Genomic DNA, 14160 nt, shown 5'->3' with positions numbered 1-14160 from the left:
TCATACCTGAAAGTAACCTTTTGGGACTTAATTGTTCACTCAATATAATATTACTACCATTAAGCCTTATTGAGTGTGTCATTGCATTTTTTTCATTGTGTTTGCTGTGAAATATTTCACCATGTGCCTATACCAGAGTTTATTTATCCATTTTACTACTGATGGGCATTTGGCTTACTTCCAAGTCTTTGCTATTGTAAACAGTGCTGCTAAGAACCAACTTCTGTCTCTAGTTGTTCGTAGTATGCTAGAATTCCCTTTGAGTATTCATCCAAGAGAGGAATGTCTGTGGATAGAACATATGGATAGTTGACTTTAGGAGCAGATGTTGAAGTGTTTTTTTCCAAAGTGTTTGTACTAATTAACACCCCACCACCAATAGGCCAGGAATTCCATGGATCCCCCTTCTCTCTACCACCTGGTATTGCAACTCTCCCTGGCATTAAACATGGTTTGATCAGCCAGGGAACTTTTCTTATCCAAGAAGTCAGGGCAGTCTTAAAGGGATAACACTCTCTCCCTCTCTCTGGAGATAAAACAGCTCTGACAACTATCCGGATGCACTGGGGGACGTTGCAAACGATCCAAACCAAAAGAACATTTAGCATGGTTCTGAGCAATGCATGACATGGATATTTGCGTAGAACTTTTGGACTAGCCTTTGTTAGGGTCTGGCAGTCAGAAAAGAATGAAATAGCCCATGCCCGCTGGGGGAATCACAATGTAGTTCCAGTTCTCACTGTGTGTGAGCACTGACGTCGCTCTCAGGATTGAGTAAAAGTCCATATGCATTTCCCCCATGATCTGCAGAAATGGCATGTAGGTGCAGGTCCCAGTGCTATCACTTGGAGATTGCGAGCTCCTCTGTGAATGTTCCCTCCTCAGTGTCTCCTCTCTAACGCACAGCATCTGTCTACGGGGCTGCAGAGAGAAGCAGGAGAGGTCACAGAGAATAAGGGACATTGTGAACCAGCTCCAGCACCCATTATTTCTTTGATGTCAACTGGAACAGAATTGTTTACATGGCATGATGAGTCAGTAGTTTATAAAACACTTATAGACACATGTTTGTCTAAATGGATTGAAGGCAAATTGGGTGAATTTGCTGTTACCTTGCTCTGAAAAAATGTGACCACCTCCTGCGGGTACCCTGTGGATTTGGAGAGAGTGGGTGGGGCTCCCAGGAAACATTCTTTGCCTCAGTGCACCTGTTCAAGCCCCTGACGCAGGGAAAGCAGAACACGCTGCCTCCAGGCCTTCACAGGGACTCAGCTATTTTTCTGTGGAGCATAAATCTCATTTCTTTCCTTGTGGCTGCCAGCACAAAACAGACTGTTAATAGCCAAAAATATCGAATTAATTTTGCTGTATTCATTTATCACAAAAAGTTTGATTTAGGTGTGTTACTTTGTGAGTCTCTATGTGTTTCATTTCCAGCAGGTGTAAACCACTCCATAGTTTATACCTCAGTGTCAACATACAGGTAATTTAACATCTAACAAAATAACATACTGATTAATGCAAAGAAAACGACCCTTCTCAGAGCAGGTTCTTACCTCATCTTGTATGAATGACCACTGTGCATAGAATTGCCTGTTAGACTGGCAGGGAACGGGGTTAGCAGGAGCCATTTGAAGAAAGGATATTAACAATGGACCTTTTACCACAGATTTCCCAGGCACGAGTCCCAAGAATTAAAGAGGAACGGTGGATACAAAGCATTTCTGTAGCAACCACTGGAGACACGCAATATGCTAAGAACCCAGGGGTTTCCATCAGAGCACAGGTCTATTGTCTATTTTATTGTTGTTGTTGTTCTCAAAACCAGGGATAGATTGATGTAATAAGATGGAGAACTATTTTAAGAACCAAGATGGTAGCTCTGAGAGAACTCAATTAAGCCACTACTAGAGCAACATCAACTAAAATTCATACCCTTCATTACTCCTGTGACCGAAGCAGGTGACACAGAAGGGCTCTGCCATCTCTACCCTGACTCTGCCCAGGCAGCTTTTCATCAGCACTTTGCATGGCTCTAAGGCGCTAGCAGGTTCCTGACTGGCAGCAAATGGGCCCAGGAGCGACTCCGGCACATGGCGGCAGCTGGGGCCCACAGCACTGCTGCTCCCCTCAAAGCCTTGCTTCACTTTGAGGATGCCTGAGCCAGGTCCACATTGGCTGTGCTGCTCAAACAGAATTTGCTGAAAAGATTTGCAATTCAATATGCTTCCTTCAAACTTGACTGGGAGACCAGATTCTATTTTCGTGCAAAGGCAGGATGCAAATGACTGCTGGGGTGGCCAGGCCGCCTGGGGAGCTTTTGGAGGCCTTCTGCAGAGAGCACAATAAGTCACTGCTATAAATCTCTCAGACTCAAATAGCTCAACAGGTGGAAACCGCATTTCCACCAAATGCTTCGCCAGAATTCACTCCCTGCCAGAGTCTGTCTTGTGTCTAATAAGAGAAAACAAGAATGTTTGCATCATTTTTCCCCCTACAGAGCCATTACAGATAGAGCTTTCTATTCTGAATGCTGAGTAGCGTCTTCAGGTCGGGTGCAGGGGACCATCCCAGGACAATGCAAACCCCAAACCATCTGGGAGTCCGGGTTCTGCAGGCTGTGTTGAGGGTAGGAGGCTTCCTGCCATTCTGTGCAAAGTAGCATGTGCAGAGTGGAAGAGAAAGGGTGACTCTCATCCTCATCCACCCACATGAACATCTCCAGCCAGTTCTGAGCTGTTGGGCCCCAGAGCATCAGGAGTGACTGTGAAGATTCGGGGAGAGGAACTGCTGCAGGCAGCCAGAAATTGGAGGCTTCAAAGGATGAATCAATCCGTCAAAGCCCTTGCATCTCAGTCATTTCAGGCGAGGGGAGCACGCCTTGAGCTGGGGCAGGACACTGTGTCATGATTCCTTAGGAAACATGCATTTCTAAGAGGGGAAGCCTTGCTGTGTAGGAAGTGGAAGCCTAAAGGCCGAGGGACAAGGCATGGATGGATTCCCTTTGATGGTGCTCGGAGGCCCTGATTATGAATGATCAAGCATTTGTCCCTGAAAACTCTATGATTTGAGTCAGGCGAAGGAGGAGAATGATAAGCACATCCTTGGCTGAACTTAGAATCACCCAAGAGCCCTAAAGCGTGCAGTGCACCGAAGGCTGTGTCCCAAACCAACTGCACCAGAAACTCTGAGGTTGGCCCCGGGCATATATCAGGGTTTGCCAAGTTCCGCAGGTGTCTGCACTGCACAGCCGGGGCTGAGAGACATGAGGTCCTCAGCAGATTCATCCTTTAAGATGACAATTCTGCACATCTGCGCCCTCATCCTGACAGTTTCCTCGCAGGGTCCTCTGAAGTCATCCATCACCTCTGCACTATTTTTGTCTTTTCCTTCACCTTATTTTCTAAGAAATCTGCCCAGATATGACCTATACATCCCCAATTTATCCTCTGCAGTGTAAAAGCTCTCTGTACCACCACCAAAATAGATGCATAATTTGCTATTCAACATGCAATACACGCTTCATCTATGTCTTTATATTTCTTCCTTTCAGAGTGGTAGCTGTTTCTTTTTTCTCTTCTATTTTTGTATAAAAGATTTCTATTTTTTTGCATCTAATGGAGGATATCAAACAGTTTTAAGCTATTCTCTTTTGGTTCAGTTTGTTCTCAACTTTAAGAGGTCTGGTTGTTGCCTGAGTTCCCAGCATGTTGTTCCCTTTCTTTCTGGCTAGAGATAACTTCCTCTGGTGACATGTGCTTGTGTAGCCTGTATGTTTGTGCTGGTTGGCTTGTGTTAGTCATTCTTAAATTTGGACTCATGAGGCTAAGCATTGGTCAGCAGAGGAAGAAGGAGCTCGCCTTGCCCCACCTCTCTGCTCCTCCACTCACTGATCACACTTGCTCTTCAGATTACCTCTCAGTGCAAATTGATGTGCCCAACCCCCAGCCAAGTTCAACTCTTGTTTTCACAACGTCCACCCACCACAACCGCAGGTCTAAAAAGACACCCTTTTCTGTGCTCTGGCCTGGCTTCCTGACTGGGTGACCTGCCTGTACAGAGCTCACTGTGGAAGTCCGTCTCCAGGATACTCCTGGACACTGCCATCTCCTTCCCATCCCAGCGCTTCACACAGGAACTTCATCCATCAGATGCAATGTTCTTCCCAACCTCTCAGCTTTACTTCTTTCCTGGGTGCTGATCATCTTACCAAAGCCAGGAAGACATGGAGAGACTTAGGATGTGACGGGAAATATAACCTCAGGGGATGCATCCAGACCCAGATATGGAAGACCCCTACCCAGTGTCCCCATGATCTCAGACTTCTGCTTTCTGGATCAGGAGGCCCAGAGAGGCGGGAAGAGCTTGTGAGGACCTGTTGGTCCTCTCGTGGAGGAAGATGGCATCACATATTCTGGCAATGGGGCAGTCAGCACGTTTTTTTAACTGATCAGAGTTGATGGCCATGGAACTTAATGCCCGCTGGCAACCTGGCTTTCAAGGTGAGTTTTAGATTAGTATGTCATTAGTGGCCAGGACTCAATTTCCTGAGCATCCGAGCTGGCCTAAATATTTGCAAAGCCTAGATTAGGAAGATATCCTGGCCATCAGTGTCCGTGAAATGAAGTCACAATTTAAGGAGATACAAAGTCACATAAGATGTGTGGCTTCTCCCACAGGGCAAGAGTAAGGACCCTCAAAGAGAGACAATGGAAGGGTACCTGGTGTGCTTCCATTCTCCTTGGCAGCAGGGCAGGCCTTGCCCTTGGAGGCCTCCTGCTGTGCCCTGCACCTTGCCTTTCCTGGTGGGTACTAGGGAAGCCCTGCCCCTGGGGTCTGACCATGGCCACGAGCAAGAATGCCAGACAGGCAGGTGCCCCCAAAACTCTGCAGCTAAGCTTGGTGAGGATGCAGAGGGTCTGGGCCCCACCAGGTGGTGTGAGAGGTGGTGGGTGAAAACACCAAGCCTAGTCTTGTACTGCGCTGGGATTGTTTCTGAAACAGAAGCAGAGGGATCTAGGGCTCTGGAGGCTGAACGAAATCAGCTCTGGAAGAAAGGATGAATGACACTTGGCCATGGTGCTTTGCTGTGCTGCAGGAGGGTCAGGCAGCATGGGAGACAGAGGGCCAGGCCCAGGCTGCACTTCTCCAGGTCACCTCCAGCTGTGAACGGGGCGTGCAGGGATGGATGCAGGAGAAACAGGGAGCCCCCCTGCCTGCAGTGGCTCAGGCTGAAGATGCATTCCGAGCACATTGTCCTGTAAGCGCTCATCCCAGGAACTCCAGCCTAAACCTCGCCTCTGTGTAGCCCTCGACTGCATCCTGCGGCCCCTCCAGTGCCCACCTGAAGGCAGGGCAGGGTCTGCCACTGCACTGGGGACAGGCAGCTTCATGTCTCTGCCCCTCTGGGCATGGGCATGTGCCCAGGTTCCCTACCCATCCGGCCCCTCCTCCAGGCCTTGGGTTCTGGCTCTGCTCCATGGCTGCTGGGCTCCTCTATAGCCTGCCCGTCCTCTCTCCCTCCCTTCCAAATGCCTTCTATGGTCTCCTTCAACATGGATCTTGTCTCTTCTAAGACACCTACTCTCGGGAAGAGGAAAAGAGAGAACATGTTTGCTTTGTCCCTATAATCATAACCATGTTTCTTTAAATAATCTGGAAAAGAGACTTGGAAGATCTTTTTTCAGAAAGGGGAGAAATCAAAGCGTACCTTGTCTAGAAAGTGCTGGTTACAGTAGCGAGTGCTGGAGCGGGTCAGCCTGTCCGTTTTGGAGGGAGACATTCCTGAGATTATGGTTCTAGGGTGGCTGAACAGGGTGAAAATCTCAACTCCAGGGTCCAGGGGACTTTCATCCCAGAAACATAGCAGGTAGCTTTAGCGTGGGCGGTTAGTGACTTCCAGGTGGGATGCAGAGCTGGACCCCGGCGGGGCCTGAGTCTGCCCATCACCACTGGGAATGAACCGGAGACAGCCTGTGACTGAGCCCTGATGGCAGATCCATTCCCGAACAAAGCCTGGAGCCTCCTGCAGCCGCGCTCCGTGGAGCCTCCCTGGTGACTGCTGGAGATTGGCGGATCCTGTGGAGTGTGTGATGGTGTTTTAAGTAAGAAGCCAAGGATGAGAGAAGGACTCAGACCATCTGGGTGTCTCTGTTCTCCATGTCTGGAGAACCCAAGCAAGGCCTAGGAATCTCTGAGCAGTGTTGCCCAGATTGAGCCGGGCCAGAGCTCAGAGGAATCCTCACACCCTCAGTGGGAATGGCAGGAAGTCGTGACAGGCATCCTCTGCCACCATTTTCCTCAGACATACCCCCTTTAGGACATGATGTGGAGCCATTTTCCATGGAAAGTAAAACACAACCCTTCCCGGCTTTGTGGGGACCAGTTGTCTCTCTCTTCTTCATGCTCTTTGACCCCTCACCTTTGACCCTCTGTGGACAACTCCCCCTGTCCCTAAGCCCCCAGTCCTGGTCAGCAGCGGACAGGGCAGAGGGACCTACATTCCTGGAACCCTCTCTGCCCACACAGATCTATGCCTTCTCAAGGGAAAGCTTCATGAAGTGTTGGGTTGCCTTCCGTTTTTGCTGACAGTTTTTGTAGCCACAGCAGAGAAGGCTGCTGCCCTCCCGAGGCTGGGGAAACCGGGTCCTGATCTCAGTTTGGCTGAAAACATTCTCAGGGTCCTGTTCTTAGCCTCTGTCTCCTCATCCCCAAAAGAAATGGATGATTAGTCCATCTCTAATTTTGCAGAACTGAAATGCTTTGGTTTTTTTAATAACCCTGCCAGGGACGGCTGTTGTGCCTTGCTGCCCGACTGGAATGTGAGGGCAGGTGGCTACCTGAGCATCCGTCAGCCCAGCAACCAGGGAAGCAGGGAGGGTCTGCTCTGCCTCTTTATAACCTGGGACTAAGAAGAGGTGCTGCCTGCTGCTCACACAGGGGAATAGAAATGCACTTCCCTGAAAAACCCGCAGCCACTGGGTGGAACCCACAAAGCCTCCTGGGCCCTCACGTGTTGAGGTCTCCTTCTTTACCAGCCTCTGCCTTTCACTCCTGTGGGCACAGAGAGATGCATGTGTGCCCTGAAAGAGGCTCACCCCTCCTTCCCAATGCAGAATCCCACCCTCACACCCCTTCCCATATTTCTATTTCCTTATCATCAGATTCTCCTTTATTTTACACTCTTCCTCTGCATAGAAGGAAGTATCTTTTCTATCCTTGAAAGAACAAGCACAGTAAATTAACAGGCCAGCAAAAAACAAACCCCCACCCTCTGCTCCAGATATAGCACTGCCTGGGGAAGAGGCTTCTCTGCCGTCAGGATAAGACCCAGCTCCTCAGTGTGATACAGCTTACTCACATGCATACCTTGCCCCCCTCTGAAGTCTGGTATCTACAGCTCTTGCCCTGGGAGGCTGGGTTGGTCCCCTGGCCTTCCATAAACGGAGTGTGCTTGGTTCCCAGAGCATCTGCTCCCTGGACACTCCCAGTTTCGCTGCACCCTGTGTTTCAGGAAGCACCAGGGGTTGTCAGAAGCCCTAAGCACAATCTTCCAGCTCGTTAGGGCACAAACTTTCAAGAGTGCAAGTACCACAACAATTGATAGGATGGTCTCTCACACAGTTTGAATGCAACCCCAGAGAATTGTATAAACACCTTACCACCAATCTTTTATGAATACAATAATTATACTCTGAGTTTAGCACCTCATAATTTAGTCACAGAATGTGTTTTCTTAGAGTGAGAAGCGGAGGTAGATGATTAAGGCTATTGTCGCCATCATGTTGTGTTTCTAGCTTTTGTAGACCTAAATAAAATACAACCTTTAAATCATTCTTTCTTAAGAATCCAGAATCAGTGTTACTTAACCAGATCTTTAGCAAAAATCCATTAGAGGTTAATGACAGAGTAGATGAGCGAAATCTAACGCTCTCACAGATAACAACTATAAAATCTGGACCCCAAAAACCAAAATGTAAAAATGCAACTCCCTGCAGGCCCTGGAGAACATGCAATGCACAGGAATGTGGAGGGGAGTCTCTGCAGGAAAGCCAATCTGCCGGGGCTTAGGTCTGTGAGTCTGCAGGTTTTTCACTGAGGACACTCCACAGTTGGTGCAGGTGGAGTGTTGGAATGACAACTCAAGCCAGTAGGATGATGACTGAGGATAGAGCGTGGAACTGGCATTCTACATTTAGCCAGAAATCAATGGGGAAATCATGGCAGGGAGCAGTCACAGCAAGTGATGGTGCCTCAGCTCTGGGAGTCTGTGGCTTACCGCTAAGGTAACATGCATCAGGACGCACGGGGATGCGGAAAAGTAGGACTGAACGTTGAAATAACAGCTGAGATTTCAGCCGCCTCTCCCCGCAGAAGAAGCAGAGAGTGTGGTTTGATTCCAGGCAAGTTAATTGTTTTCCAAAACAAAAGTCTCCCTACAACACAATACTCATCATGCCCAGTATCCAATTATCCTCACAATAACAATAACCATACAATGGAAAATGTGGCTTGAACTCAAAAACAAAATGCAGTCAATACAAATTAACACTGAGATGACACAGACGCTGTAATGAGCAGACAATGACTGTTAACAGGTATAAATATATTCAAGGACTTAAAGAAAAATATAGGCACAATGTCTAAACAGATGAGACTCTCAGCAGAGACACTGACAATACAACAAAAGAATCAAGTAGAGATTTGAGAGCTGGGAAACTATAAAAAATCAAATGAAAACTAACTAGCAAGACTTAACAGAAGGTTGTAGACAGAAATAAAAAGAGTCAGCAGACTTGAAGATAGAGCAATAGCAATGATCCAATCTAAAGAATAAAAAGGAAAAAATGTTAAAAATATGCAACAGAGCCTTAAAGACACTTATGGAAGCATCACACTGACTAGCATATGTATTACTGGAGTTACACAATGAGAAGAAAGAGGATTGGGCAGAAAATATATTTCAACAAATGATAGCCAAAGATGGCAAAGAACATTGATTTATAAACCTATGAAGACTAACAAATGTTGAGTGGGGTAAATGTTAGGTTGGCACAAAAATAATGGCAAAAAACTGCAATTACTTTTGTGCCAACCTAATACAAAGAAAACCACAATGGAGCACATCGTGGTCAAATTGCTGCATTCCAAAGATAAAGAGAAAATCTTACAAGCACCCAGAGAAGAAATGCAACACATCACATGGAAGGGAAAAAATATGTACAAACATAAGGTAGCATTCTCATGAGAAATGTTTCAGGTAAGAAGAAAATGGAACTCCATCTTTAAAGTGCTAAAGGGAAAAAAAATCAAAACAGAATTTTATATTCAATGAAATGATGCTTCAAAATTAAAGGTGAAATAAATGCTTTTTTTATAAACAAAATTCGAGAAAAGTTGTCAGCCACAGACTGTTCTAGCAGTCCTTTAGCAGGAAGGAAAATGATGGCAAACAGTATGTGTGTATGTGTGTGTATATATGTGGTGTGTGTAGTGTGTAAATTTACATACACACATACATACACTACACATACCAGTAATTGTAATCCTAAGAAAACAAGAGATGCTATATCAACACCATGCAAAACAGGGCTTAGAAAAAGAAGTAAGACTAAAACTAAGAGAACATTTCATAATAATAAAGATATCAATACATCGGGGAGACCCCACAATTATAAATGTTTGTGCCTAATAATAGAGCTTCAAAATGCAGGAAGTAAAAACTGTCAGAGCAAAAAGAACAAACAGACAAATTGCAACATGCTATCAGCTAAAAATAAATGTGAAGTTGCGTTAGTGGCTGAGATGTTCAATGAGATGCCAACTACAGGTGCCAGCACGTCGCAGGTTCTCCATTAACAAAGATTCCTTTCCTTCCCTTGCTCTGGTTGGGAAACATGTTCTTCACCAAGCACCTTAGATTTCTCATGTGCACCTGAATGTGCCGTCTCTTTGCGGTCTCCAAAGCCCCCTTGGAATGGAACCCGGTGCTCATCCAGGCTTTATCACAAGAAGCTGAGGGCAGAACTGTCTCTGACTCATGCGAAGCCCCTTAGCCAGGCTGTGAAAAATTCATAACTAGAAATTGTGCCTTGCCTTTCAAAGCTTAATATTCTTTACACTTGACCTTTAATATTCTGGGTTTTTTTTTTTTCCTTTCCAGATTCTTAATTCTGAGTCCATTTACCTGAACTGCATGATTAGATTTTTCAAAATGATAATGTATTCTACATTGATACGAGGCAACACAGACGAATGCAAGTTTGTGATTAGAAGGACGGAAATTGTCTCACTTCTGGGGTTTTGTTCTCAATTTGAAACTTAACAAATGGAATGCTGAATGGAATCGTGAACTCCTAGGACTGTGGATTACTGACTTGACTCATGTGTTGTTACTCACCTGCTTGTTGGAATGATGTGTCTGTCGGGTCCAAGGCGGGGTCGGGAGTGCTGAGTAATCCAACCTTGGTACCACGTCTGTGCATGGTTCCTCCCGCAGGCCAGGCTCTGTGCTTTGCCTTCATCACTAGCACTTTGCAGGACATGGGCTGGCCAAGGAGTGCCCCCTGCCCTCCCCACCCCAAACTACATCTGCTGGCCTTGGCCTCATTCTAGTCACAGCAGAATTTTTAGACACTCCACTCCATCCAGGCCTCTGAGGTCTCTCCAAGGTGAGCGTCACTTGCTCTCTGTGGGGCTGAGGAACAAAGGCCCCTCCCTTGAATCCCGGGCCATTCTAAAGAATCAAAAGGCAGGGGCCCTACAGTGGACGAATGGCAGCCCCAACAGAGATGTGCCACATCCTGACCCCCACCCTGGGTCTCGGAATGTGGTCTCACTTGGAAGCAGGGTCTGTGCAGGTATAATTCAGTTCAGGGCCTTGAGGTGACATCATCTTGAATTTAGGGCAGACACTGGATCTAATGACTGTGTCCTCATATGAGAGGCGGGGGAGATTTGAGACCCACAGACATGGAGGAAGGACAGCTATGCAGAGACAGAGGCAAGGACCAGGGTGACATGCCCACAGCCAAGGGGCCACGGAGCACCAGGAGCCACCAGAAGCTGGGGGGAGGCAAGGAACGGGGTCTCCCTCACAATCGCAGAAGGAGCCTTCAGACCCATGAGAAAAATGCATTTCTATTTTTTAACCAAGAGTGAAGTACTTGGTTGCAGCAGGCACGGAAATGAATGCAGGCGCCACCATCATCTTGGGGTAGAGGTTCCAGCCCCTTGGCTCTCCTGGGGACAGCCCTTGGGCTGCATTTCTCCCCCCACGGGGCAGTTGCAGCTCCTGGTACCCTGGTGGCACTCCACATCCCAAACACTGCCTGTTTTCTTCAAAAATGAGTGCCCACTGTCTCAGGCAAACTAAAAAGACAGGGACAGGCCCAGCCACAGTGCCCCTCTTCATCTCCCACTGATGCTGTCATCCAGCGTGGCTGCCCTGGAGGGGCAGAGCAGGTGAGGCTTGGTGGCCTCAGGCCGTCTGGCCTTGTTGTAGGGTTTCTGCAAATGGATTTTCCAGAGATCGCCCTGGCATACCGTTGAGTCAGGTCGGCGAGGAGAAGCTGGCAGGGTGTTGATGTGGCTGGCCTGAGCACTCTGGCCCCAACTCTAATCTGGGCTCTGTGACCGCCTTGCTGGGTCGCCTTGGGGTCACTTGCTCACCGCCTGGGTCATTCCTTTCCTCTAGTGTCAAATATGGGGCTTGGGTTCCTCCCACTGCGGAACAGTGTGGCTCACTGTCAGCCGTGCTCACCGACCAGGAAAGTTCCTGTTGGAATAAACACTGTGCAAAGCACTTCCAGAATCAAAAGACCAGAAAGTGCTGAGACAGCATGAGCTACCTGTCTAGCAAGGATGACATAGAGTAGAAGCTGTGTCTGGTCCTTCATGGGCACGGTGGGAGTGAACGGTGACCCCTTGCTGTTCTGTGCCCTTGAAGTCTTTGGGTGCTTGTGATGACTGCTTCAGGGAAGTCCAGTTCTTGTGTTGCTCCTCAGAGATGTAAAAGCCAGTAAATGTTTTCATAGTTTGGCAAGACTGGTCAAGCTAGTGTGAAATATTAGATTAATTTCTAAGGTAGAATCAACACACCAAATGTTAAGTGTGAGTCTAGATTAATTTATATTTAAAAAGAGTAAAACATAATTTTCAGCACTTATAGAAATTGGAATGAAGAAACATCTTCTGGAATTTTGTAAAGCATGAGCGGCTCCTTCATGAGCCTTTGCAGACTGGTCTCTGACACTGTCCTAGTTCACAGGAAGAGTCCCCCTTGTCTGTTCAGAATAAAGAGGCGAGCAGCTGAACTCCAATTCCCACCATTTACAAGGTGGTTCAATCCAGGAATAGAGATTCCAAAATTATAAAACTGTTGGTTTGGATCATCTGAACGCCACTTTTTTCCTTTTTACATAATAGTACACTGTGGCAGGACTGCATTGCTGAGATTCTGCCATCTAAAAGGTGGTAGGAGGCGAAGGTGTTTTTATTTGCCTTTTCCTTCTTCTTGACCAATTAAAATACTAAATATAAGACAGCTTGGGCACATTGTCCAAGTTCAAAATACTCTCCAAATTTACCCATCCTCTTCCCCAAATGCCATAAGTTTCAATAAAAAGAGAGATAATTTAAGATGATAAGATGAGGTCTGCACATATCTCCTGCTCTTCCCACCCTCAGCATCTGCTGATAGCTGAAGGAAAGCCAGAGGTGAGGTTGCTCAGTGCCCCATTAGCTCACAAGTGCACTGTGCTCACCCAGGCACACTGCGCACTTAGCACATTGACCAAGACTCGCAAATGAGCCTACGTGAGTTGAAGGAAAAGGTCTAATGGAGCTGTGGACTCTCTGGTTTTCCATGCAGGCAGCAGATTGGGTGTGTGCCCTTCCTGTTTGCCATGGTGCCTTCTATGCATCCAAACACACGGCATTGGCCAGGCTCAGTGGCTCACACCTGTAATCCCAGCACTTTGGGAGGCCAAGGTGGGAGGATCCCTTGAGCCCAGGAGTTTCAGACCAGCCTGGGTAACATAGGGAGATTCTGTTTCTACAAAAAAGACAAAAATTGGCAGGGCATGGTGGCACATGCCTGTGGTCCTAGGTACTGAAGAGGCTGAGAAGAGAGGATCACCTGAGCCAGGGGAAGTCAAGGATACAGTGAACAGTGATTGTACCACTGCACGTGAGCCTGGGTGATGGAGAGAGACTCTGTCTCAAAAAACAAAAACAAAACCAAATTTGTACAAATATTATTAATATACAATATTTCATTCAAATATACAACAAAGAGGAATTGTCTCACTAAGATTTGTTTGAAACATCAGTGAAAGTCATCTATGGAGATACTACCAGTTCTAACTTGAAGACGCTGATGGGTCCCGTGGGGGATCTGGCTTCCTGGAGTTGTCTCTTTTCCACTAAAGGTATATCATACAACTTACATCAAGAAAAGGAAGCACTGGATGCATCTTTGGTTTTAATTTTTATGGCTCTGTTGTTGTCTCTCTATTAAGTACTAGATGATCCTGGGATTTAGAATCCCTTCTTGGTTTATATCAAGAAAACCATTTTCTTTATCCCAACATGGATCTTTTCTGACCATGCTTGATGACCCATTCTGGGCAACACTGATCTGTGCTGGAATACACCCTACGTCTTTTTGCAGGAATAATTGACTTAGTAGCAACCGCTATCGATGTTCCTAGTATTCATCTGTATCTAGATGACAGAAATCTTTACCCTTCCGGGTAAGCATTGAATAGAACAATCTGCTTTATGAGACATTGTGAGCTGGGCCACATCCATCACCGGTCATTTGGAAAGACTTGAACTTCAGGATTACTGGCTTCCACTGCTGATGACATGTGGCATACTGGGATGTTTTTTTTTCTCTTTAAGGAGCTTTTGATTCTGATTTTTTTTTCCTGCACATTTCTCTCTGTTCATCAGGAGGATGTGATTCTGGAAGTTTCTCCCGAATTGGCAGCTCTTTTAAAGATAGCCGTTGATCACTGCCGACAGGCCTGGGTGAGCAGCTTGTCTGGGCACCACACTGGACCACAAGATAATGAATTGGCCTCATCCTCAAGGCCAACTGCGTGGAACCATGGCGACGCTTTGCTGGCCTGTTTATAAACCAGTGAAGTGGCAAAA

At 46.9% G+C, this 14160-nt stretch overlaps 4 annotated features.

Moving 5' to 3' along the window:
- Positions 1540–2040: an enhancer, noted in NCBI's record as "H3K4me1 hESC enhancer chr10:132801067-132801567 (GRCh37/hg19 assembly coordinates)". NCBI's record gives its function as "activates a minimal SCP1, AML or CMV promoter by ChIP-STARR-seq in naive H9 embryonic stem cells {active_cell/tissue: H9 hESC(naive)}" and the evidence as "EXISTENCE:reporter gene assay evidence [ECO:0000049][PMID:30033119]".
- Positions 2041–2541: an enhancer, noted in NCBI's record as "H3K4me1 hESC enhancer chr10:132800566-132801066 (GRCh37/hg19 assembly coordinates)". NCBI's record gives its function as "activates a minimal SCP1, AML or CMV promoter by ChIP-STARR-seq in naive H9 embryonic stem cells {active_cell/tissue: H9 hESC(naive)}" and the evidence as "EXISTENCE:reporter gene assay evidence [ECO:0000049][PMID:30033119]".
- Positions 4743–5609: an enhancer, noted in NCBI's record as "H3K4me1 hESC enhancer chr10:132797498-132798364 (GRCh37/hg19 assembly coordinates)". NCBI's record gives its function as "activates a minimal SCP1, AML or CMV promoter by ChIP-STARR-seq in primed H9 embryonic stem cells {active_cell/tissue: H9 hESC(primed)}" and the evidence as "EXISTENCE:reporter gene assay evidence [ECO:0000049][PMID:30033119]".
- Positions 5610–6477: an enhancer, noted in NCBI's record as "H3K4me1 hESC enhancer chr10:132796630-132797497 (GRCh37/hg19 assembly coordinates)". NCBI's record gives its function as "activates a minimal SCP1, AML or CMV promoter by ChIP-STARR-seq in naive H9 embryonic stem cells {active_cell/tissue: H9 hESC(naive)}" and the evidence as "EXISTENCE:reporter gene assay evidence [ECO:0000049][PMID:30033119]".

This window comes from Homo sapiens, chromosome 10 (assembly GCF_000001405.40).
Source record: "Homo sapiens chromosome 10, GRCh38.p14 Primary Assembly".
NCBI classification, from domain to species: domain Eukaryota; kingdom Metazoa; phylum Chordata; class Mammalia; order Primates; family Hominidae; genus Homo; species Homo sapiens.
Note: the sequence above shows the minus strand (reverse complement) of the source record. Positions and strands in the feature narration are given on the sequence as shown.